Raw genomic sequence first — 24,682 nt, 5'->3', positions numbered from 1 at the left:
TCTTGGTCTCGCTGACTTCAAGAATGAAGCCATGGACCCTCGTGGTGAGTGTTACAGTTCTTAAAGATCGTGTGTCTGGAGTTTGTTCCTTCAGATGTTCAGATGTGTCCAGAGTTTCTTCCTTCTGGTGGGTTCGTGGTCTTGCTGACTTCAGGAGTGAAGCCACAGACCTTCACAGTGAGTGTTACAGCTCTTAAAGGTGGCACGTCCATAGTCGTTTGTTCCTTCCTGTGGGTTTGTGGTCTCGCTGACTTCAGGAGTGAAGCTGTAGACCTTTGAAGTGCGTGTTACAGCTCATAAAGGTAGTGCAGACCCAAACAGTGAGCAGCAGCAAGATTTATTGTGAAGAGTGAAAGAACAAAGCTTCCACGGTGTGGAAAGGCACCCGAGCAGGTTGCTGCTGCTGGCTCAGGTGGCCAGCTTTTATTCCCTTATTTGGCCCCACCCACATCCTGCTGATTGGTCCATTTTACAGAGAGCCAATTGGTCCGTTTTTACAGAGTGCTGATTGGTGCGCTTACAACCCTTTAGCTAGACACAGAGCACTGATTGGTGTGTTTACAATACTTTAGCTAGACAGAAAAGTTCCCCAAGTCCCCACCCGACCCAGAAGCCCAGCCAGCTTCACCTCTCAATCCCCTCTAAACAGGACACCCCAACTGCTGTTGGGAATTGGCCAATGACCGCCCTAGCTACTTCCTGCTGAACAGGGGTGAAGAAGGAGCCCTGCAGTTGTAGTGTCCTCCAGAGGGGAACTCTTTAGGCCAGTGAAAGGGCCAGTGGGTCGGTCCAGGGGTCCTTGGTAGAAGTTGTTAGTTGAGCTCGTTTGGGGTTCCATTTGTAAGACCATCTGTGGCTTGATGGCCTCAATTCTAGAGGAAACAAATTTGATAAGGAGGTTAAAATATATGGCCCGAAGGTGAGTAATAGCAGGATGGCTGTCATGGGACCTAGAAAGGGGAGAAGCCATGTTGCACAACTCCAGAGGTTGGTATAAGAGTTTGAAAGGCGTTGTTTGATTTCAGAAGCCTTTTCCTGTAAACGCCGGGCGGCATCTCATACTATCCCTGACTGGTTAGCGTAAAAACAACACTCTTCCCCTAAGGAGCAGAGTCCTTCTTTCTCAGCATTGAGGAGGTCTAGGCCTTAGTGGTTTTGGAGAGTCGCTGCTGCCAAAGAGTCTATTTGGGATTGTAGTTACTATCCTTACTGGATAGATTTTGTTATTTCTTGCAAACTGTGTGAGAAATCCTCTGAGAGTGTGTGATATTAGGATAATATATGTTACACTGTTAACTTTTAGCAAACTTTACTTTTGTTGAAAACCTCGTAAGTCTGGGATTTTAATTTTTCTTTGCTATTAATAAAACCTCCTTCAGTCCGTATTAACTTAGAATTGGTATAGATGGCTCCTTCCTGATTCTGTAAGTACTTTAAGATTTGGCTGAGTGCAAACAACTCACACGTTTGTATGGCAATTAATTAAGATTTAGATCCCCTGTTAGGAAACCTGCTTGGTTAAGGATTTTTGATAGAAAGGCTATGGGTTGTCAGTGGCCTCAGTGCTTTCAGGCTATGCCCTTGTTTGCACTGACAACAAGGTGGTATTGGAGTGTTATAGGGTCATGGAGAAGACCTTCAATTATCAATTACAGGTTTTAAATTTACCCTGGCTTTTAAAGCAATAGGGTATACTGTTTTTTCTTTACTACTTCTGTCTCTCTTTCTTTCTCTTTGACTTCTTTGTCTCTCTCTTTCTGACTCCCTCTTTGTCTTTGTCTCTTCCTCTCTCTCTTTCTGACTTTCTGTCTCCTTCTCTCTTTCCTTTCTGCTGGTCTTTCCCTGCCTCTGCTAGCCACTTATGCTGCTGTTCTCCCCTCTCCTTCCCCTTTGTGATGGCTTCAGCAGTGTAAGACTACCAGCTCCTTGGGTTTTTGCACTGCGTGCAATAACTCCATAATTTCCTTGTGGTATTTAATGGGGGTTCCCCCAGAGGTTAGGAACTCCCTTTCTTTCCATATTGCAGCATGGGAATGTAGCATTAGATAAGCATACTTGCTACCTGTATACACATTTATTCCTTTTCCTTTTCCCAGTTCTAAGGCTCGGGTAAGTGCCACTAGTTCTGCTAACTGGGCACTAGTCCCTGGGGGAAGAGGCTTACTTTCAAGTATGGTTACATCACTAACTATGGCATAACCTGTCCTTCGTATCTCATTCTCCACAAATGAACTTCCACGGTATATAGGTTAAGGTCAGGATTAGCCAAGGGGACTTCCAAGAGATCATCTCAGGAGGCACAAGTCTGGACTATAATTTGTTGGCAGTCATGCTCGATTGGCTCCCCATCCTCTGGGAGAAAAGTGGCAGGGTCAAGGGCCACACACGTATGCACTTGAAGCACTGGTCCCTCAAGGAGTAGCACCTGGTATCTAACCAGGCGGTTGTCTGATAGCCATCAACTTCCTTTGGCACCTAGTATGCCATTTATATCATGAGTGGTCCAGACAGTGAGATCCTTTCCTTGTATTATTTTGATAGCTTCTGACACTAAGACGGCCACCGCTGCAACTACCCATAAACAGTGAGGCCAGCCTTTTGCTACTACATCAATTTCCTTACTTACATATGCCACTGGTTGGGGGGTTGTCCCATGAGTCTGAGTAAGGACTCCAAGAGCTATCCCTGCCGTCTCTGTGACGTATAAAGAGAAGTATTTTCCTGTGGAAATGCTTAAAGCTGGAGCTTGTACTAGGGCCTGCTTTAAGGTTTTGAAGGCTGTTTCTGCCCCTCATTCTCATTCTACTAGATAAGTATTTGCCCTCCGGGCCTCCTTGATTAGAGTATACAGGGGCGTGGCTATCTCACTGTATCCAGGGATCCATATTTGGCAAAAGCCGGTGATTCCAAGGAACCCCCACATCTGTTTTAATGTCTTAGGGTGAGGATAAGCCAGTATAGGCTGCATTCGTTCCTTGCTGAGGGCCCTGGTTCCTCTGGCTAAAATTAGGCCTAGATGTTTGACCTGCTGTAGGCAAAGCTGGGCCTTCGACCTAGATGCCTTGTACCCTTGATTAGCTAGAAAGTTCAAGAGATCTAGAGTAGCCTGCTGGCATGAGGCTTCCGAACTAGTAGCCAAAAGTAAATCATCCACATACTGAAGGACCAGAGTGCCTGGACTTGAGAAGTGGCCTAGATCTTGGGCCAGTACCTGAACAAACAGATGAGGGCTATCCCTAAACCCTTGGGGCAAGACGGTGCATGTAAGTTGGGATGTGTGGTCTGTGCAATCCTCAAAGGCAAAGAGAAACTGGGAGTCAGAGTGCAGGGGTATATAGGAGAAGGCATCCTTGAGGTCCAGAACAGTGACCCGTTTGCTTCCTCTCGTATTTGAAAGAGCAGGGTATAGGGGTTGGGTACAACTGGATATAGAGGAATTACTGCCTCATTGATGAGTCTAAGATCTTGCACTAGTCTCCACTGACCATTCGGTTTTTGTACTTCTAGAATTGGGGTATTGCAGGGACTGCTGCATTTCCTTACTAAGCCTTGAGTTTTTAAATGTTTAACAATATCCTGTAATCCTTTATGAGCTTCAGGCCTTAAGGGATATTGCCTTTGATAAGGAAAACTGGTGGGATCTTTTAGCCTGATTTGGACTGGATGGGCATTTTTTGCCCTTCCAAATTGTCCTTCCAATGCCCAGAGTTCAGGGTTGATTCCCTCCTCAAGTAGGGGACAGCAAATGGGTAACTTGTTCCCCATATTCATGTAGATAATAGCTCCAGCTTTGGCTCATATATCCCTCCCTAATAAGGGTGTGGGACTTTCAGGCATGACAAGAAATGCATGTGAAAAGAGCAAAGTCTCCCAATTACAACTGAGGAGGTGGGAGAAATACCTGGTTACAGGCTGTCCCAGGATTCTTCGGATGGAAACGGACCTTGAGGACAGCTGTCCAGGACAGGAGATTAACACTGAGAAAGTCAAGCCAGTGTCCAGGAGGAAGTCAATTTCCTGGCACTCAATGGTTATACATACCCGGGGCTCAGTGAGGGTGATGACGTGAGCTGGCATTTGCCCTGGGCACCCTCAGTCCTATTGTTAGATCATCTGGTTGGGGGCTTCTGGCCCAGAGAACCTTTGCCCTCTGGGACAGTGTGCCTTCCAGCGATTGCCTTGGCGTAGTGGACATGGACGAGGGGGCGGCTTGTTTCTCATTGGACATTCTTTTTTAAAGTGTCCTTGTAAACCACCCTGATAACAAGCCCTACTGGATGAGTGGCCTGCTCCATTTTCTGTCTTCTCTGAACCACCAAGGTTCATTTGTCTGAGGGCCATGACTAAGGCTGTGGCCTTTCTCTGATCTCGCTTTTCCTTTTGGGCCTGTTCCTCTTGGTCCCTATTATAGAACACTGAGGTTTCCAGGTTTAATAATGTCTCCAGATTTTATTCAGGGCCCAGGGCTCACTTTTGGAGCTTTCTCCTGATATCTGTGGCTGATTGGGTAATAAACTTATCTTTTAGGATCAATTGACCCTCTAGTGAGTCAGGTGACAGGGGATTATATTTTCTTACAGCCTCCCATAGCCACTCGAGGAAGGCAGAAGGATTTTCTTCCTTTCCCTGAGTTATGGTAGACATCATTGAATAATTCATGGGCTTTGTCCTAATTTTTCTTAGTTCTTCTAGAACACAGGTCAACAGATGTTTGAGACTCCAGTCCCCATGATCTGAGTCAAGGTCCCAGTGGGGATCCATACTGGGGATGGCTTGCTGACTGGTAGGGAATTTGTCCCTTTCTTTGGCTGTCATGCTATCATTTACTTGACTAAGATACCAGGTATCTCCAAACTCTCAGGCTGCAGCTAAAGCCACATTCTTTTCATTAAAGGCCAGGGTTTGATCTAACAATAGCATGACATCTCTCCAAGTGAGATAGAAAGTTTGCCCTAGACTCTGTAGGACATCTATGTATCTATCAGGATCATCTGAAAACTTCCCCAGGTCTGCCTTGATCTGCTTTAAATCACAGAGGGAGAAGGGGACATGTACCTGGATTGGGCCAAATTCCCCTCCCCCTACAGCTTGAAGGGGACATAACTGACAGCCCAGGGGTTTTTGTGGTCCTTTGGAGATTTCTTTGCTTATTTCCTTCTGGGTGGGGGAGATTAGAGGAGGCTTATCATTAATAGGAAGGGGAGCTATAGGGAGGCTAGGATATGGGGGTAAGCTGAGAGATCCTCCTGTGGGATGTAAATTGCAAGTTTTGCATAGTTGTGTATTCTCCTTCAATGAAAAGAAAGCTTGGACATAAGGTATTTCACTCCTTTTGCCTTCCCTCTTACAGAAAAGGTCAAGTTGCAGGATAGTATTGTTATTTACACTTCCCTCAGGTGCAGGTGGCCATTTTTCCCCATCAGAGAGAGAATATTGGGGCCAGGCCATAGTGCAGAAAAAAATGAGCCACCTCTTTTTCAGGGTTTGTGGGTCAAATTGGTCCCAATGGCTTAGGGTGCATTTCAATGGTGAGCCTGTTGATGCCTGAGTGTTTCCCAACTGAAAGACAAAACTGCCCACGGTTTTGGTTTGTTTATTTTTCCCCCTGCCCAAGAACCTGCAACGGTCCCTGGACCATGCTGATTGGAATAGTTGCACTCACCGATGCAGCAGCAGAAACACTAGTTTTCCTCCTAGACCCAAGGAGGACGAGGAATGTCGGATTTAGTGGCCCTTACTGACACATTCTCGAAAACCTGCACCCTTGCCTGTCCTCCTAGACCACAAAGAGGATCGAGAAAAATTGGATTTAGTGGCCCTTACCGATGCATTCTCGAAAACCCATTAGAGTCCTAAGTGTTCTCCTGTTAGTATTGGGACTTTACCCATGTCCTATAAAGATGTTATGCCCCAAAAATGAAGTGGAGGGACATACCCTGAGGGAGGTAAGGGATTTCCAGAGTTGGAAGAGTGATGCCTTTTGTCCTCACTTATATGAATAGGAAGGATACAATTTCTGAGGCTCCCCATATCCTAGCTTCAGGAATAGCTTTTGTTAGGCCTGCTTGTCTGAGGAGGGATCCCAAAATTCCAGATAGTCCCCCTACGATGGGGCTTTGGGCAAAAATTATGTCTTTCTGATTGGTGAGCCTGGGTGCCTAAATAAGGTAACAGAGTTCTGAAGTTTATACTAGAAATCATTCTTACAGGAGAAACTAGAAAAGCACAAGAGACAAGGAGTGGTTTTTAGAAGCGGGACTAGCCTCAGAGAAGAGAGGGGGGAGGAAGTTTGTCTGACAGGCATTAGGACCCAAGAGGCAAGGGTCAGTATAGATAGGTTAGATGGGCAAGTCTCACTTGGGCAACATGACTTAGAGAGTGTGGGGAAAAGAAAGAGAGATGAGACTGTTACTGTGTCTGCATAGAAAGAAGTAGACATAAGAGACTCCATTTTGTTCTGTACTAAGAGAAATTCTTCTGCCTTGAGATGCTGTTAATCTGTAAGGCTAGCCCCAACCCTGTGCTCGCAGAGACATGTGCTGTGTTGACTCAAGGTTTAATGGATTTAGGGCTATGCAGGATGTGCTTTGTTAAAAAAGTGCTTGAACGCAGTATGCTTGTTAAAAGTCATCACCATTCTCTAATCTCAGGTACCTAGGGACACAATACACTGTGGAAGGCTGCAGGGACCTCTGCTTAGGAAAGCCAGGTATTGTCCAATGTTTCTCCCCATGTGATAGCCTGAGATATGGCCTCATGGGAAGGGAAAGACCTGACCGTCCCCCATCCCGACACCCATAAAAGGTCTGTGCTGAGGAGGATTAGTGAAAGAGGAAGGCTTCTTTGCAGTTGAGATAAGAGGAAGGCATCTGTCTCCTGATCGTCCCTGGGCAATGGAATGTCTCGGTGTAAAACCCGATTGTATGTTCTGTTTACTGAGATAGGAGAAAATCGCCTTAGGGCTGGAGGTGAGACATGCTAGTGGCAATACTGCTCTTTAATGCACCAAGATGTTCGTATACGTGCACATCAAGGCACAGTACCTTTCCTTAAACTTATTTATGACACAGAGACCTTTGTTCACATGTTTTCCTGCTGACCCTCTCCCCACTATTACCCTATTGTCCTGCTACATACCCCCCTCTGAGATGGTAGAGATAATGATCAATAAATACTGAGGGAACTCAGAGACCAGTGCCAGTGTGGGTCCTCCATATGCTGAGCGCCAGTCCCCTAGGCCCACTTTTCTTTCTCTATACTTTGTCTCTGTGTCTTCTTTCTTTTCTCAGTCTCTCATCCCACTTGACGAGAAATGCCCACAGGTGTGGAGGGGCAGGAAACCCCTTCAGAGAGTTCTGCTCATGGCTGCAGGATCAACCAACTTGTTTTCAGGACTCCGGAGCTGAATGGCTTTCCTCTGTCAACCCTTGGCTCAGCCCAGAAGTACAGGAAAAGTGGAAGCTGGTTCCAGGGAAATCAACACTCCCAACTCTGAAGAGTTGGGGGTTGTTAGAGATACATTTCCCAGAAAGCCTGACACCCATGTCTTTAGTCCAGTGGCCGTGCTAGTTGCTTTTAACTGGCTGACAGCTGCCTGGTATTTAGCACCTGAGTTTGAAGGAAAAATAGGACTGAATAGCAAGTGAAAGGGGTCCGATGGTACTCATCGCTTGGCGATAGGTGATAGTCCCATCTGGGTTGCCAAAATGTGTCCGGAATTGGTTCCTTTCTGTGAGTTCTTGGTCTCGCTGACTTCAAGAATGAAGCCACGTACCCTCGTGGTGAGTGTTACAGTTCTTAAAGATGGTGTGTCTGGAGTTTGTTCCTTCAGATGTTCAGATGTGTCTGGAGTTTCTTCCTTCTGGTGGGTTCATGGTCTTGCTGACTTCAGGATTGAAGCCACAGACCTTCGCAGTGAGTGTTACAGCTCTTAAAGGTGGTGCATCCAGAGTTGTTTGTTCCTCCCAGTGGATTCGTGGTCTTGCTGACTTCAGGAGTGAAGCTGTAGACCTTTGAAGTGAGTGTTACAGCTCATAAAGGTAGTGCAGACCCAAAGAGTGAGCAGCAGCAAGATTTATTGTGAAGAGTGAAAGAACAAAACTTCCACAGCATGGAAGGGGACCCAAGTGGGTTGCTGCTGCTGGCTCAGGTGGCCAGCTTTTATTCCCTTATTTGGCCCCACCCACATCCTGCTGATTGGTCCATTTTACAGAGAGCTGATTGGTCCATTTTACAGAGAGCCAATTGGTCCATTTTTACAGAGTGCTGATTGGTGCACTTACAAACCTTTAGCTAGACACAGAGCACTGACTGGTGCATTCACAATCCTTTAGCTAGACAGAAAAGTTCCCCAAGTCCCCACCCGACCCAGAAGCCCAGCCAGCTTCACCTCTCAAAACTACTGCAGTGATCCAGGAAAAAAGGTGATGGTGACTCAGACCAGGATGGCTGTAGTGGCAATGGGGAGAAACAGTTGACTACTTCATAGGTTTTAAAGGTAGAGCCAATGTGGTTGGCTGACAGATTGGTGGTGGAGTGTAAGAGAAGCCACAGAATTGGCAAGGTGTGGTGGCTCACGCCTGTAATCCCAGCACTTTGGGAGGCCGAGGCGGGTGGATCACGAGGTCGGGAGATCGAGACCATCCTGGCTAACACAGTGAAACCCTGTCTCTAGTAAAAATACAAAAAATTAGTCGGGCGCGGTGGTGGGTGCCTGTAGTCCCAGCTACTCAGGAGGCTGAGGCAGGAGAATGGTGTGAACCCAGGAGGTGGAGTTTGCAGTGGGTGCAGATCGCGCCACTGCACACTAGCCTGGGCGACAGAGTGAAACTCTGTCTCAAAAAAAAAAGAGAAGCCACAGAATCAAAAGAGACTGCAAAGTGTGTAGTCTGAGCAAGTGGAAACATGAAGGTATTTCTAACTGAGATGGGAAGGCTAGTGGTAGAACAGGTCTAGGGAAGGAAATGTGAGTTTGATTTTGATCTTGTTGAGTTTGAGATATCTATTAGACATTCAAGTTGAGATGTGGAGTAGGCAGTTCATTATAAAAGTCTGGAGAGAGGGTTAGTTTGGATACATACATCTGGGAGAAGGATAAGTCATACTCAGGACCTAATGCAAAATGAAAATGAAGACTCCTTGTTAAAAAATTATTGAGAATTTCAGTGGCTGGGCGTGGTGGCTCATACCTATAATCCCAGCACTTTGGGGGGCTGAGGTGGGAAGATCACTTGAGCCTAGGAGTTTGAAACCAGCCTGAGAAACATGGTGATATCCCATCTCTACTAAAAAATAAAAAAATTAGCCAGGCATTGTGGTGCACGACTGTGGTCCCAGCTACTCAGGAGGCTGAAGTGGGAGAACCATCTGAGCCCAGGAAGTTGAGGCTGCAGTGAGCCGTGATTGCACCGCTGCACTCCAGCCTGGGCAACAGAGCAAGACCCTGTCTCAGCAACAGCAGAGCATTAAAGCACAGGGCTTTTCTGAGGGTGGGGCTTGCGAGTGCACAGCTCACAAGGAAGCTGGCTCTGTTTTGGAGTCATTGGCATACACTTGGTACTTAAAGATTGGACAAGATCTTCAAGGGAGTGAGTGTAAATGGAGGAGAGAAGAGGACCACACGCTGGCTCCGGGGGCACTCTGGCATTAAGGGATTGAGAAAATGAGGAGGGGCCAACAGAGGAGAAAGGGTGAAGAAAACTGGGAGATTGTGGTGTCCAGGAAGCCACGAGACAAGTCACTCCTGTGACCATCTGCATTAAATGCTGTGGTTGTGTAAACAAGGTGAGGGCAGGGAATTGACATGAGATTTAGCAACTTATAAGCTTTTAGCAATAATAAATTTTAATTTATTTTATAAGAAGCTATGCAAAACTAATTAGGGAGTATTACAAATTACATCATTGTTAATTATTAAAAACAATTTCTGGATATTATATGGCAACAAAGACATTGGGCTATATTCCATATTGGTACAAATTCCTCTGAAGTATATCACATTTCTATAATCACTGTTAGATATGTAATTTTATTTCAAATTTTTGGTAGATTTTGGGTAGATAGAATAACACATCCTAAGTGAGGTCAGAAGAGGATTTTCTAAAGTTTTCCACCAATTTTTTGGAAAGCAACTTTCTTGCTCAATATCAAGTGTTTGTGAGGCCCTGATAACATGTTTCAAAATTACATATATATATATATATATATATATATATATATATATTTATTTTTTTGAGATGGAGTCTTGCTCTCTTGCCCAGGTTGGAATGCAGTGGCACGATCTCGGCTCACTGCAACCTGTCTGTGAGGCCCTGATAACATGTTTAATATATATATATATATATATATATATATATAGAGAGAGAGAGAGAGAGAGAGAGAGAGAGAGAGAGAGAGAGAGAGATGGAGTCTTGCTCTGTTGCCCAGGCTGGAGCGCAGTGGCACGATCTTGGCTCACTGCAACCTCTGCCTCCTGGGTTCAAGCGATTCTCCTGCCTCAGCCTCCTGAGTAGCTGGGATTACAGGCGTGCATCACCACGCCTGGCTAATTTTTTTGTGTTTTTAATAGAGACAGGGTTTCACCGTGTTGGTCAGGCTGATCTCGAACTCCTGACCTCATGATGCAGCCGCCTTGGCTTCCCAAAGTGCTGGGATTACAGGCGTGAACCTCCATGCCCAGCCTTTTAAAATAATATTCTATTAAACATTTTAGGATCCTTGAAAAGAGAAATTACTTTTGAAATACTGATTATTCTCCCTTTCCTAGTTTGCATTTCTCATCACATTATCTCCAAGTGCTTTGGTAAGAGGCTGATATGGAAGGGCTTTGAAACAAGAAGAAAAGTCTTTCCTACCTCGAACTTAAGGTAATTTTAAGTATCAAATCTGCAGGTATCAAGGGGGTTGAAGAACAAAGCTTCATCTGTTACCTGTTCTTATGCATTTTAATGCACTGTATCCTAATACTAAAGAAAGAAAAAGGTTTAATAAGCTTCTGACTTTTGATTAAAACTCTTTTGGAAGGTTTTTCACATAAACATTTTATAGCCCAGAGAGTTAAGTAAGGATGTTGTTTTTAGAAGAAGGAGGTAAGCTTCAAAAAGCATTCTTCTGGAAAGCTACAGCTTAGCTGACTCCATCCCGGTTTTAATATATTACTGTGGTTAACAGGATACCACAGTAGGGGGCATTAAAGAGATGGTAAATTTGTACCGATAAAATAATTATATTTTTGTGTTGAATATTGAGTTTGCTTTTACAGCGAGAATAAATTTACATTTCAAATAGCAAAGAAAATTCTGCCAAGGACCTCTACCACCGCTAGACCCAAGTTATCTGTTGTCTTCAACAATCACTTTCATTGACTCCTTTGCCAATTATCCTGGATCTGCAGAGAAATTCTTTCTATTAGGGCATTTTAAGCACTATGAAGAATGCATGACTAAATTTTAGAGATAAGTAGACAAGAATATTAGAACTATAGGTTATGTTCCTAAGATATCTTTTTCTGAAAAGCAAAGACTGTGGCCTTTGGGATGAAATGAATAGAAACCTAGTAAACAGAGAAAGACAGGAAAGGGGGAGATGCCAAGCAAATGTTTGTATGAAGCTGCATGATCAGGCTCCCGCCTGCCTCTCCATCCTTATTTTGTGCCACCCTTCCTTTCATTCACTGGGTTCCAGCCATCCAGGTCTTGTTTCTGTTCCTCCAGCATCCCAAATACCTTCCTTAAAGGCTTTCCCTGTTACCTTATCTAAAATAGCACTCCCACTTCCTTCCATCATATCATTTTGTAGAGTTCAATCATAGCATGCAACACACTCAGTAGGTGCCTTGTGAATTTAAAAAAATGGTTTCCAGTGGACACAATGACTCATACCTGTAATCTCAGCACTTTGGGAGGCTGAAGCGGGAGGATTGCTTAAGGCCAGGAGTTCAAGACTAGTCTGGGCAACATAGTGAGACCCCTATCTCTACAAAAATAAAAATAATTAGCCAAGTGTGGTGGCACTTACCTGTAGTCCCAGCTACTCTGGAGGCTGAGGTGGGAAGATGGTTTGAGCCTAGGAGTTTGAGGTTTTGAGGTAGCAGTGAGCTATGATTGCATCACTGCACCCCAGCCTGAGTGACAGAGCGAGACCCTGTCTTAAAAAAAATACATATATATATAAAATAAAAGGTTTATTTCTTAGCTTTATCCACTAGAATGTGAGCTCTTTTAAGGCAGTGGCCTTGCATGGCCAAATTTCCAGTCCCTAAAACTGTCCTTGACCCTTTGAAGTGGTCAGTAAATATTTGTTGAATAAATGAATAAAGTTTATTTTATATGAGGTAAGCCCAAATATTCAGAACCTTAGCATACCTCATCTATACTTTTTGGATGCCAAAATCTGCTAAGTTTTGAAACAAAGAACTGTCTCAATTTACTTGCTACTCTGTGTGATGGCCTAACTACATAATTAACCAAAAAATACATTTCCAAAGTGTGTTAAATATGATAACCAAGGGAGATTATAAGAGAATCATCCTCTTCGCCTTTGCATATTCTTCACAGCATAGCACATATTTACTTATTTGAGATTACTGGCTATGTTTCCTTGAGCAAGAGAGCTTTCCTGTATTATTGGTAAGAACATTATGTACAAGTTGACCCAGAGTCTAATTAGGGATAAGAGATTCATCCAATCGTGGACGTCTTAAAAAGCAATAGTACTTAGAGTACCCTTTTTAAGGTTATGCTGTTAGCTGGTATTACAGGTCATAGAGAAAACCTAAAATGTTAAATTGCCAACTATTACTCCTCCTGAGTTATTTTCATTATTAATTCATTTTTTTGAGGGAAATAAAAACCTGCTTAAAAATAGTCCAGGTTGGCCGGGCACAGTGGCTCACGCTTGTAATCCCAGCACTTTGGGAGGCCAAGGTGGGCGGATCACGAGGTCAGAAGATCGAGACCATCCTAGCTAACACGGTGAAACCCCGTTTCTACTAAAAATACAAAAAATTAGCTGGGTGTGGTGGCGGGCGCCTGTAGTCCCAGCTACTCGGGAGGCTGAGGCGGGAGAATGGCGTGAACCCAGGAGGCAGAGCTTGCAGTGAGCCGAGATCGTGCCACTGCACTCCAGCCTGGGCGACAGAGAGAGACTCTGTCTCAAAAAAAAAAAAAAAAAAAAAAGTCCAGATCCTGGTCCATAGTCTGTATTATGAGTAAGATTTTGGTGACAGGTGTAAGTAAGAACTGATGTGTTTTTTTCAATCCACTGTGAAGTTGGAAGGGAGGATGTCGGAATTCTCTTCTAGCCCACCCTATGCTCAGTGTGCAATCTTAACAAGTTTATTAACTTCTTGAATCTTAATTGTATTATCTATGATCATGGATCTATAGAACATATGTTTGGACCTTATAGTTAATCATTCTACAGAAGTAGAATCTTATTAACAAAAATGAAAACCAATACCCCCAGCATTTATAGCTTATCCCGATTACAAAAATAATGCACACACCAGAGTAGAAAATGTTGAAAAGACAAAAAGCATAGAGAAAAATATAACTTGAATGCTATAACTTTAGATACAACACTGTCCCCATTTTCATGTTGCCTCTAGCTTGTTTTTAAACTTTCTCAAATTAGTGATTTATTATTATTGCTACTCTCTCCCTTTCTCCCTCCCTCTCTTCTTCTTTCCCTCCTTCTTTCCTTTGTTTTCTTTTGTTTTCCTTTCTTTTCTCTCTCTCTCCCTCCATTCCTCCCTTCCTTCTTTCCTTTTTTCCCTTATAGTCCATATCTGTTTAGCGTTACCAAAACATTTACCAATATATTTACTCCCACCACTTCTTTCTGGGTTCCTTTAAATTTTGCCAAAGAAAATCCTTTAGTTGTTTTTTCACCAACAGCTTATTAGTACTAAACTTTCATAGTTTTTTATGGCCAGGCGTGGTGGCTCATGCCTGTTATCCCAGCACTTTGGGAGGCTGACGCAAAAGGATTGCCTGAGCCCAGGAGTTCCACACCAGCCTGGGCAACCCAGTGAGACCTTGTCTCTCCAAAAAATAAAAAACTTAGCTGGATGTGGGGACATGTGCATGTAGTTCCAGCTACTTGGGAAGCTGAGGTGAGAGAGGACCTCTTGAGCCTAGCAGATCAAGACTGCTGTGGGCTATGATGATGCCACTGTACTCCAGCCTAGGCAAAAGAGTGACAACCCCATCTCTTTCCCTCTAAAAAGGAAAAAAAAGTTATTTTATGACTGAAAGTACTTTATTTTACCCTTATTCTTGAAAAATAGTGTAGTAAACTCCTTTTCCCTTCGCACCTATTTTTGGCATCCTTATCATGTATTTATTTATTTTTTTACCATGAAGTATAGCAGGAGATATAATGTATTTAAATTTTCTGTATTTTTACATATATTTTAACCTCCCCAAGATATTATCATTGTTTTAACTGTCAATATTCATTTAGTTTTAACTATATCACTACCATTTCTTTATATACCTGTGTTATTGAGCTTCAATTAGGGGTTTTTTTCCTTTTTGCTTGGAAAACTCTTTGTATTTCCTTGGGTGGAGATGTGCTGCCATTAAATTCTTCCAAGTTTTTGTGCATATGCAAATGTCTTTATTTCACCTTCACTTTTGAAGTATATATATATATATATATACATATATAAAACTGAATATAAATTGTTTTCTTTTTCTTTTTCTTTTTTTTTTTTTTGAGACATGGTTTTGCTCTGTGGCCCAGTCTGGAGTGCAGTGGTGCGATCTCAGTGCACTGCAACCTCCACCTCCCAGGTTCAAGCAACTCTCCTGCCTCAGCCCCCTGAGTAGCTGGGATTACAGGTACCCACCATCATGCCCAGATAATTTTTGTATTTTTAGTAGAGACAGGGTTTCACCATGTTGGCCAGACTGGTCTCAAACTCCTGACCTCAAGTGATCCACCCACCTCAGCCTCCCAAAGTTCTGGGATTACAGGCGTGAGTCACCGTGCCCGGCCTGGATATAGATTTCCAGGTTGGTTGTCACTCTCTTTCAGCCCTTTGAAGATTTTATTCCATTGTTTAGTTGCTTTTATATTTCTATGAAAGGGTAAGCTATCAGTTTTATTTTTTATTTATTTTTATTTTTTCTTGAGACAGAGTCTCACTTTATCGCTCAGGGTGGAGTGCAGTGGTGCGATCTTGGCTCACCGCAACCTCCACCTTGTGGGTTCTAGTGATTCTCCTGCCTCAGCCTCCCAAGTAGCTGGGACTACAGGTGTGCGCCACCATGCTTGGCTAATTTTTGTATTTTTAGTAGAGATGGGGTTTCACCATGTTGGCCAGGCTGGTCTCGAACTCTTGACTTCAGGTGATCCACTCCACCTCGGCCTCCCAAAGTGCTGGGACTATAGGCACGAGCCACCGTGCCCAGCTAGCTATCAGTTTTATTGTTACTCCTTTAAAATTATGCATCTCTCCTATTTCAGTCACTTCTAAGATTTTTTTCTTTCTCCTTAATTCTAAACCATTTTACTATGAAATGTCCAGATTTGATTTTGTTTGTATTTATTCTGGTTGAAGTTTTTAGAGATCCTTGAATCTGTAGTTCAAGGTCTTTCATCAATTCTGGAAAATTCTCAGAAACTATCTCTTCAAATATTATTTGGACCATTCTATTTCTTCTCATTTAGACATATGTTGGCCTCCCTTTTTTTTTTTAAACCATGTCTTATAAGTTTGTTTTACAATATATATATTTTTTTGATCCTTGTATTTTTTGGAGACAGGGTCTCACTCTGTTGCCCAGGCTGGAGTGCAGTAGTGTGAACATGGTTTACTACAGCCTTGACCTCCTGGGCTCAAGCAATCTTCCTCCCTCAGCCTCTTGTGCAGCTTGGACCACAGATGTGCACCACCACACCTGGCTAATTTTACAATTTGTTGTAGAGAAGGAGTCTCACTTTGTTGCTCAGGCTGGTCTCAAACTTCTGGGCTCAAGCAATCCTCCTCCCTTGGCCTCACAAACTGTTGGGTGGCATGAGCCACTGCACCGGCCTTGCCAGCAGTTAACTAGAGACAGATGTCATTCATTTTGATCAGGCTTTGAGATGGTTAGAGGCTGAGTTTAAGGCTCTATGAGGCATGCTATATTACGGTTATACCCTTGAACCTAGAAAATAGTCCTTCAGGGATCTCTACTTAAAACCTGGCATGTTGTCCAGGATTCTTTCTCCATTTCAGGCTCTGAACTCCAGTTTTTGTCTGTTTAGTTCTCTGAGATTTCCCAAATCACTGCTTATCCCTTAAACACCTTAACAATTGTGTTTTGTTTGTTTGTTTGTTTGTTTTTGAGATGGAGTCTTGCTCTGTTGCCAGGCTGGAGTGCAGTGGCCCAATCTCGCTCACTGCAACCACCGCCTCCCGGGTTCAAGTGATTCCCCTGCCTCAGCCTCCTGAGTAGCTGGGATTACAGGCGTGCACCACCACACTCAGCTAATTTTTTGTATTTTAGTAGAGACGGGGTTTCACCATGTTGGCCATGATGGTCTTGATCTCCTGACCTTGTGATCCACCTGCCTTGGCCTCCCAAAGTGCTGGGATTACAGGCATGAGCCGCTGTGCCCAGCCTGTTTGTTTATTTTTATGTAACTGCTCCTACTCCTTTCCCTGTTCTTCAGTGACTTAGGATTCAGAAGATTCCTTGAGGTAAAATCCTTGCAAAATTTCACACTCATTTTTCTGTGATTTTCTTCTCTCTGGGACCCTGGCTGTTCATGTCTTGGCTGCTCCACTTGTCTTGAACCCCAATTTTTGTCTTCCTATCCCCATAAACTTACTGAAAACTCTTGCCCACTACTTTCTGCTATACCTCTATCTCCTAGCCAGGAAATGGTAAATGCCCCAAGGGAAAACATTGGTGGAGAATGTCTGATTTATTCCGATTTGTTTCCTTTTCCTCTAGGATCTTGACTTCCCTGCCCTGGCTACCTTGGTAGCTTCTCAGTATCTTCAAATAACTACCTTTTTCATATTTTTATCTAGCTTTATACCTGTTCTTGAAGAGAGTGTTCATTTGATAAGAGTTTCTCTTCAAAAGCTTAATTTTTTTCTTTTTTTTTTGAGACGGAGTCTCGCTCTGTCGCCCAGGCTGGAGTGCAGTGGCACGATCTCGGCTTACTGCAAGCTCTGCTCCCTGGGTTCACACCATTCTCCTGCCTCAGCCTCCCGAGTAGCTGGGACTACAGGCGCCTGCCACCACGTCTGGCTAATTTTTTGTATTTTTAGTAGAAATGGGGTTTCACCGTGTTAGCCAGGATGACCTCGATCTCCTGACCTCATGATCTGCCCGCCTCAGCCTCCCAAAGTGCTGGGATTACAGGCGTGAGCCACTGCGCCAGGCCAAAAAGCTTAACTTTAGACTTAAAAAGTGAAAGTCTAAAGCCTATATAGCCTTTTAATATTAAAAGACCCATTCCATTTCCAATTGCTACTTACTAGGCTCTCTTAAATTGTTCACATGTTCTAGTTACACCAAATAGTTGATGGCTTTTGTAGTTTTTTTTTTTTGAGATGGAATTTTGCTTTTGTTGTCCAGGCTGGAGTGCAATGGCGTGATCTCCGCTCACTGCAGCCTCTGCCTCCCGGGTTCAAGCAATTCTCCTGGCAGCCTCCCGAGTAGCTGGGATTACAAGCGCATGCCACCATGCCCAGCTAATTTGTTATATTTTTAGTAGAGATGGGGTTTCATCATATTGGTCAGGCTGATCTCGAACTCCTGACCTCAGGTGATCCACCCGCCTTGGCCTCCCAAAGTGCTGGGATGACAGGAGTGAGCCACTGGGCCCAGCTGGCTTTTGTAATTCTTAAAGCATTTCTTTTGCCCTGTTCACTTGCAGGATAATCATACAACTGATCATTGTGTATCTATCTCTTCCACTACATCCATCCCAACAGAAGGGTGTCTGATTAGCAACAAAACAAAAACTGCCAAATGGATTAGTTGAAAGGGAGAAATATAGTTCTTTTTCTTTTTCTTTTCTTTTTTTTTTTTTTGAGATCGAGCCTTGCTCTGTCACCCAGGTTGGAGTGCAGTGGCTGCAGTGGCGCGATCTCCCCTCACTGCAACCTCGGCCTCCCAAGTTAGCTGGGACTACAGGCACACGCCACTACGCCCGGGTAATTTCTTTTGTATTTTAGTAGAGACGGGGCTTCACTATGTTGCCCAGGCTGGCCTCTAACTCCTGAGCTCAGGCAATCTGCCCACCTCGGCCTCCCAAAGTCCTAAGATTACAGGCATGAGCCACTGCGCCTGGCCCAGTTCTTAAGTAAACAATGTTGAACCAAACCTTTGCCTTTTACCCATTGTGAATCAGGGTAGTGGCCTCTATCAGGCCATTTTCCTTCTTAAGGAAGTATTAGGTTGGTGCAAAAGTAATTGTGGTTTTTGTCATTACTTTTAAATTACTTTTAATGGCAAAAACCACAGTTACTTTTCACCAACCCAATAAGTCTCTCTGGTCCTGTCTTCTGTAGCATATCTCTCAGATTGTGCTTATCATAACAGTACTTTTCAAAATGCAATTGATACACGCCTGCATTTGCCACTAGAATATATTGGTCATAATTTTTAACACTTTTTGAGGCATCACTGTGTTTACACATGACTCATTGATTGAATGTTATTTTTTTCCAGGCACTGAGAATATGGAGGTAAACAGATACATGTTCTTCTAGTCTGTGATAAAAATGGCATACCTCAGGGAGATGAGGCAGGTAGAACTTAACCCCTGTTCTTCCTGAGTACTGCCAGGCTGCTGTGCTATCTTTTTTTTTTTTTTTTTTTTTTAAGACAGAGTCTCTGTCACCCAGGCAGGAGTGCAGTGGCATGATCTCAGCCCACTGCAACCTCCACCTCTTAGGTTCAAGTAATTCTCCTGTTTCAGCCTCCCAAGTAGTTGGGATTACAGGTGCATGCCACCACGCCTGGCTAATTTTTGTATTTTTTTAGTAGAGACAGGGTTTTGCCATGTTGGCCGGGCTGGTCTCGAACTCCCGACCTCAGATGATCCGCCCGCCTCGGCCTCCCAAAGTGCTAGGATTACAGGCTTGAGCCATCACTGCTGTGTTATCTTGATTCACAGTTGTGCTGTCTTCTCCCTCACTGATGCCTCTGAAATTGTGTGGTGTGTAAGGCTGGGAGCTTGCACATTACATACTGTTATTCTGGTTTTGGTCATAACAATGTCTTCTTTCTTGTTGGCATCTCTCTTCTCCATGGTAACTTCTTGAAGCTGCCAGAATGATACAATTTTTTTTTCTCTTCCTCTCTGTTGAGCCACTCCTGCATGGTTGCCAAGGGAAACCAGATAAGTATTAAGTATAATATTAATTTGAATATTTTATGTCTACATAAAGTGCATGACTTGTATGACCTCTATTTTAAACTAGCTTCAGGTTTTTCCTGTATTTACCTTACTTGGGCTTTTTTGTTTTTGTTTTTGTTTTTTTGAGTTTTCTTTTTGGTTCTCTAAGATAACTGAGTGGACCCAGGTGATGAGGCTTAGGAATTCAGCTGACTGGCCCTGTACCTGGCTCTCATGGTAACTTGTATTTAACACTTGTCATATGGTTATGAAATAATTATTTGAGTAATTTTTAAATGTTTGTTTATCAGACTGGGCTGCTTTTTAAGGTCAGGGACTATGTCTGTATTGTTCTTTCCTGTCTTTCCACTGTGCTATAGCACAGTACCTGGTGCACAGGTATTAATTATTATTTTTTTTTGGTCAAATGAGAAACAAGAGGAAAAAAGATAAGACGCAAAGACCACAAAGAACATGATCCAACATACCCCTGTTTAGAAGTTACCTACTGATCTAGATGCCCAGGACCTCATTTGCCTCTAACCTCCTATTCTACTGTTTAAGGCCACCCTCCAACCATGAGTACAAGTTAGGGTATGAATTGGTACACAGTTGTTGTCATTTTATTTCCTCTTCCAAGTAATCTCACAATAAAAGAAGACTTCAAGATTTCTGATACCAGAAAAATAGTAGATATAAAAATCTTTCAGCTAAAAATACCTGGAAATACTAGATAAAAGTTAACAAGCATTATTTTAAATACATTTCTGAGATGAATCTTCCTTTTTAAAATTTATTCTGAGCTGGGCAGGGTGGCTCAAGCTGGGCATGGTGGCTCACGCCTCTAATCTCAGCACTTTGGGAGGCTGAGGCAGGCAGATCACCTGAGGTCAGGAGTTCGAGACCAGCCTGGTCAACATGGCGAAACCCTGTCTCCACTAAAAATACAAAAATTAGCTGGACGTGGTGGCATGCACCTGCAGTCTCAGCTACTCGGGAGGCTGGGGAAGGAGAATTGCTTGAACCTGGGAGGGCAGAGGTTGCAGTGAGCCGAGATTGCACCACTGCACTTCAGCCTGGGCAACAGAACGAGACTCTGTCTCAAAAAAAAAAAAAAAAAAACTATTCTTATAATTCCTCCCCCGACCCTTTTTTCAGTGCATAATCCAGTAACATTTAATATAATAATTAACATGATTTGATTTAGGTCTGCTTTTTTTTTGTTTATTTTCTGTTAGTATAGGACCTACTTCATTTGTATAGGTCCATTTAACACTCTACTTGCCATTTTGTGCTATAGTTATCATATGTAACACATCTACATACATTATAAACTTCAAAAAATAATGCTATAAATGCTATAACTTAAACATCTATATGTATTCCAAATAAATTAAGAGGAAAAATTGTAATGTGTTCAGATATTTACCATTCCTGATGATTTAAAATCATTCCTAGGCCGGGCACAGTGGTTTATGCCTATAATTTCAGCACTTTGGGAGGTCAAGGTGGGCGGGTCACTTGAGCCCAGGAGTTTGAGACCACCCTGGGCAACATGGCGAAATCTTGTCTCTACTAAAAATATGAATAAATTTGCCCAGGTGTGGTGGCATGCTCCTGTGGTCCCAGCTACTTGGAGGCTGAGGTGGGAGGATCGCTTGAGCCTGGGAGGCAGAGGTTGCAGTGAGCCACGATCATGCCACTATACTCCAGCCTGAGTGACACAGCGAGACCCTGTCGCTAAATAAATTAATAAATAAATTCATTCCTAAAGATGCGAGTTTTCCTTTGGTGTCATTTCTGTCAATCTGCTGAACTCCCTCTAGCATTTCTTTTTTTTGGGGGGGGTGCTGACTGAATTCAACAATTATTTATTGAGTGTCTATTATGTGCTAGATACTGAGACACATCAGAGAACAAAACCAAAAGCCCTGCCCTCGTCGGGCTTACAGTCTAGCACTTACTGCCAGTTAACCTGGAGGCTACCTGGAACCCCGGGCAAGTCACCGCACCTCTGTGCCTCGGTCCTCAGCTGCCTAATGGGAGAATAAGCAGACCTGGCTCAGACATGAATCATGTGCTTGGTGTACTGCAGATGCCAAACTGCATCCCCATAACCCACCACCCAGACAGTAGATAGGGCTGGAAGTTGATTTTTAATGATCAAGTACAATGGAGGGAGGGCAGAGGGGCTAAGCCTAGCTGTCTGGGGTGCTGTGGTGGTGGTGGGCTGGCTACACAAACTGTTGCTGCTGCTGCTGCTTCTTGGTGGCTGCCTTGCTGGCGAGGTCCTTGGCCTTCTCTGTAGCTGCCAGTGCTGTCTCCTTTGCCTTCTCCTTGGCTTCCTTGGCTGTCTCAACAAGTGTTTTGGAAGGGGCCTCGCCTTGCAGCTTTGCCAAGATATATTCAAAACCCTTCATAGTCTTGGTCACATTGCTTTTGAACCAGGCAAGACCAAATTCCTGGACAGCTCTGGAGACACCAAATAAGCTAGAGGAGACCCAGGCTTCCCGGCGGATTTCGGTCCGGCCACTGTTGTCAGAGTTCACACAGTAAACACATCGTTCCTCCACCACCATCAGCCGGGCATGGTTGATGTTCCAGGTGAAGGTGGTCATGGTCTGATTCTGTGGGTCCACAATAGAGTCCTCCAGGATGTACACCGAGTGATCAACATTGGCAGGAAACAGTCGCTCGGCCCAGCAGGGCGTCCTGTTGGTCTTGGTCAGGAGTCGCCCGGACAGCAGTTTCTGGTCAGGGGTTACCTCCCGGTGTACTACGTCTTCCGTCAAGACATGTTTGCTATAGGGATTCGGGTACCGCTGCCAGAAGGCGGCGAACACTTGGTCCCAGGAGCTCCGTTGCACGCTCTGGCCCAGGAAATACTTCACCATCGTCCCGGCCGGAGCGGGCTCAGCACCCGCGCAGCATCGGGGGTGCGGAGCCTGGGAGGCACGCGGGGGCCGCGCTGGGCCGGGGCTCGGCGCACACCCGCCGCCAGGCTTGTAGCTCAGTCACCACCGCACCGCGCCCAAGCAGCTGCCGCCACCGCCGCCATGAGTTGTCCGGTCCAGCATTTCTTGTAATGCACATCTGGTGGTAATGAAGTCTCTTAGTTTTCCTTTATTTAAACACTTATTTAGTTTTTTTGTTGTTTGTTTTCATTTTCATAGGATATTTTGGCTGGATATAGAATGCTGAAATGACAGTTTAATTCTTCAAGCACTTGAAAAATATAATTCACTGCCTCCTGGCCCCCACAGCTTCTGATAAAAAGTCCAATGCCACTGAATAATGTTCCCCCTGGAATGTAATATATTGGTTTTTTTCCTGGCTACTTTCACAGTTTCCTGTTAATTTTTGGTTTTCAGCAGTGTATTGGTTATTTATTGCTGTGTAACAAATTGTTCCAAAACTTAGCTGGTAAAACAATAGACACTTATTATCTCATAATTTCTGTGGATTGGGAATCTGGGTGTAGCTAAGGGTTCTTGGTCCTCTGCTTTGGCTTCGAGTCTCCTCACAAGGCTATGGTCTTCTCAGGCTTGACTGTGAAGAATTTTCACAGAGTTCATTCACGTGGTGGTTGCCAGCATTCCGTTCCTTGTGGCTGTTGGCCAGAGACATGTCAGTTTTTCATGAGCTATTGGCCAGAGACTTCCCTTAGTTCCTTGACACATGGTCCCCTCCATACAGCATCTCACAACATGGCAGGTTGCTTCATGTACACACACACACACACACACACACACACACACACACACACACACACACAGACACAGAGAGAGAGCGCCCTACCAAAATGGAAGTCACAGTTTTTGTAACCTAATCATGGAAGTGACATCCCATTAGTTTTGTTGTATTCTATTCATTAAAAGCAAGTCACTAGGTTCAGCTCACACTTGAGGGAAGGGGATTATACAAAGGCATGAGCACCAGGAGGTTGAGGTCAGTGGGGGCCATGTCAAAACTGTCTATCACAAGCAGTCTGTCTAGGATATGTCTAGATGTGGTTTTCCTTGTATTTATCCTGATTAGGGTTTCTTGAATCTATCAATTTGTCTTTCACCAAATTTGGGGAGTTTTGTTGCTATCATTTCCTCATGCATTTCTTTTCTACTGCATTTTCTCTTTTCTTTCTTTATGGGGCTCCAGTTGCCCCTATATCAACCCCCTTGATATTGTCCTTCAGCTTCCTCAGGCTCTGTTAGTTTTTTAAAAAAATGTTTCATTTGTTTTTCAGATTGGATAATTTTTATTGTTCTATTAACTGACTTTCCCTCTTATGTTTGTTCTGCTATAAAGTTCATCCAGTGACTTTTTAATTTTGGATGTTACATTTTTTCAGTTCTACACTTTCCGTTTAAAATATACAGCAATGTTGTAACCATTATTACTCATTTCTTCAGATTTTATAGTATAACGGTAGTCTTAAAAAATGGAAGTGATTAGGCCTCTCAATACCTCCGAAAAGACTTATACTTAGCAGGTATTCACAAATGTTTGTTGACTTCAATTTAATTGTAATAAAGTGAAAGAAACATCAAGCCATAGAAAGCCAAGGAAGGAAGCAAGGAACATCAGGTATCTTTACTGACTTGTTTTGAGAAATCAGGCACATTGATATATTTGATTAGTGGAATACCAAAAAAAAATTACGTATTTTCATTCACAGACAAGGAAGATTTCTTTTTTTCTTTTCTTTTCTTTCTTTCTTTTTTTTTTTTTTAGACAGAGTATCTCTCTGTTGCCCAGGCTATAGTGCAGTGGCATGATCTCGGCTCACTGCAACCTCTGCCTCCCAGGTTCAAGTGATTCTCCTGCCTCAGCCTCCTGAGTAGCTGGGATTACAGATGCCCACCACCACGCCCAGCTAATTTTTATATTTTTAGTAGAGATGGGGTTTTGCCATGTTGGCCAGGCTGGTCTTGAACTCCTGGCCTCAAGTGATCCATATGACTTGGTCTCCCAAAGTGCTGGGATTACAGGCATGAGCCACCACGCTGGCCCAGAAGATTTTATTTTATTTTATTTATTTATTTAGAGACAGAGTCTCACTTTGTTGCCCAGGCAGGAGTGCAGTGGCACAATCTGGGCTCACTGCAACCTCCACCTCCCCGGTTCAAGTGATTCTCCTGCCTCAGCCTCCCAAGTAGCTGGGATTACAGATGTGCACTGCCACGCCTGGCTATTTTTTGTGTTTTTAGTAGAGACAGGGTTTCACTATGTTCACCAGGCTGGTCTCAAACTCCTGACCTTGGGTGATCCACCTGCCTTGGCCTCTAAAAGTGCTGGGATTATAGGCGTGAGCCACCTCACCTAGCCACAGACAAGG

General features: G+C 43.8%; 1 pseudogene, besides 1 other annotated feature; it reads right to left on the bottom strand.

Moving 5' to 3' along the window:
• Positions 375-571: a silencer, noted in NCBI's record as "fragment chr1:211402251-211402447 (GRCh37/hg19 assembly coordinates)". NCBI's record gives its function as "represses an EF-1alpha promoter that drives an FKBP-Casp9 reporter gene in an ReSE screen in HepG2 liver carcinoma cells {active_cell/tissue: HepG2}" and the evidence as "EXISTENCE:reporter gene assay evidence [ECO:0000049][PMID:32094911]".
• On the bottom strand, positions 21,203-22,416 carry PRELID1P5 (PRELID1 pseudogene 5; annotated as a pseudogene).

Source organism: Homo sapiens, chromosome 1 (genome assembly GCF_000001405.40).
Source record: "Homo sapiens chromosome 1, GRCh38.p14 Primary Assembly".
In the NCBI taxonomy this organism is placed as follows: Eukaryota; Metazoa; Chordata; class Mammalia; order Primates; family Hominidae; genus Homo; species Homo sapiens.
The sequence above is the reverse complement of the archived record's forward strand: the minus strand, read 5'-3'. Positions and strand labels throughout refer to the sequence as shown.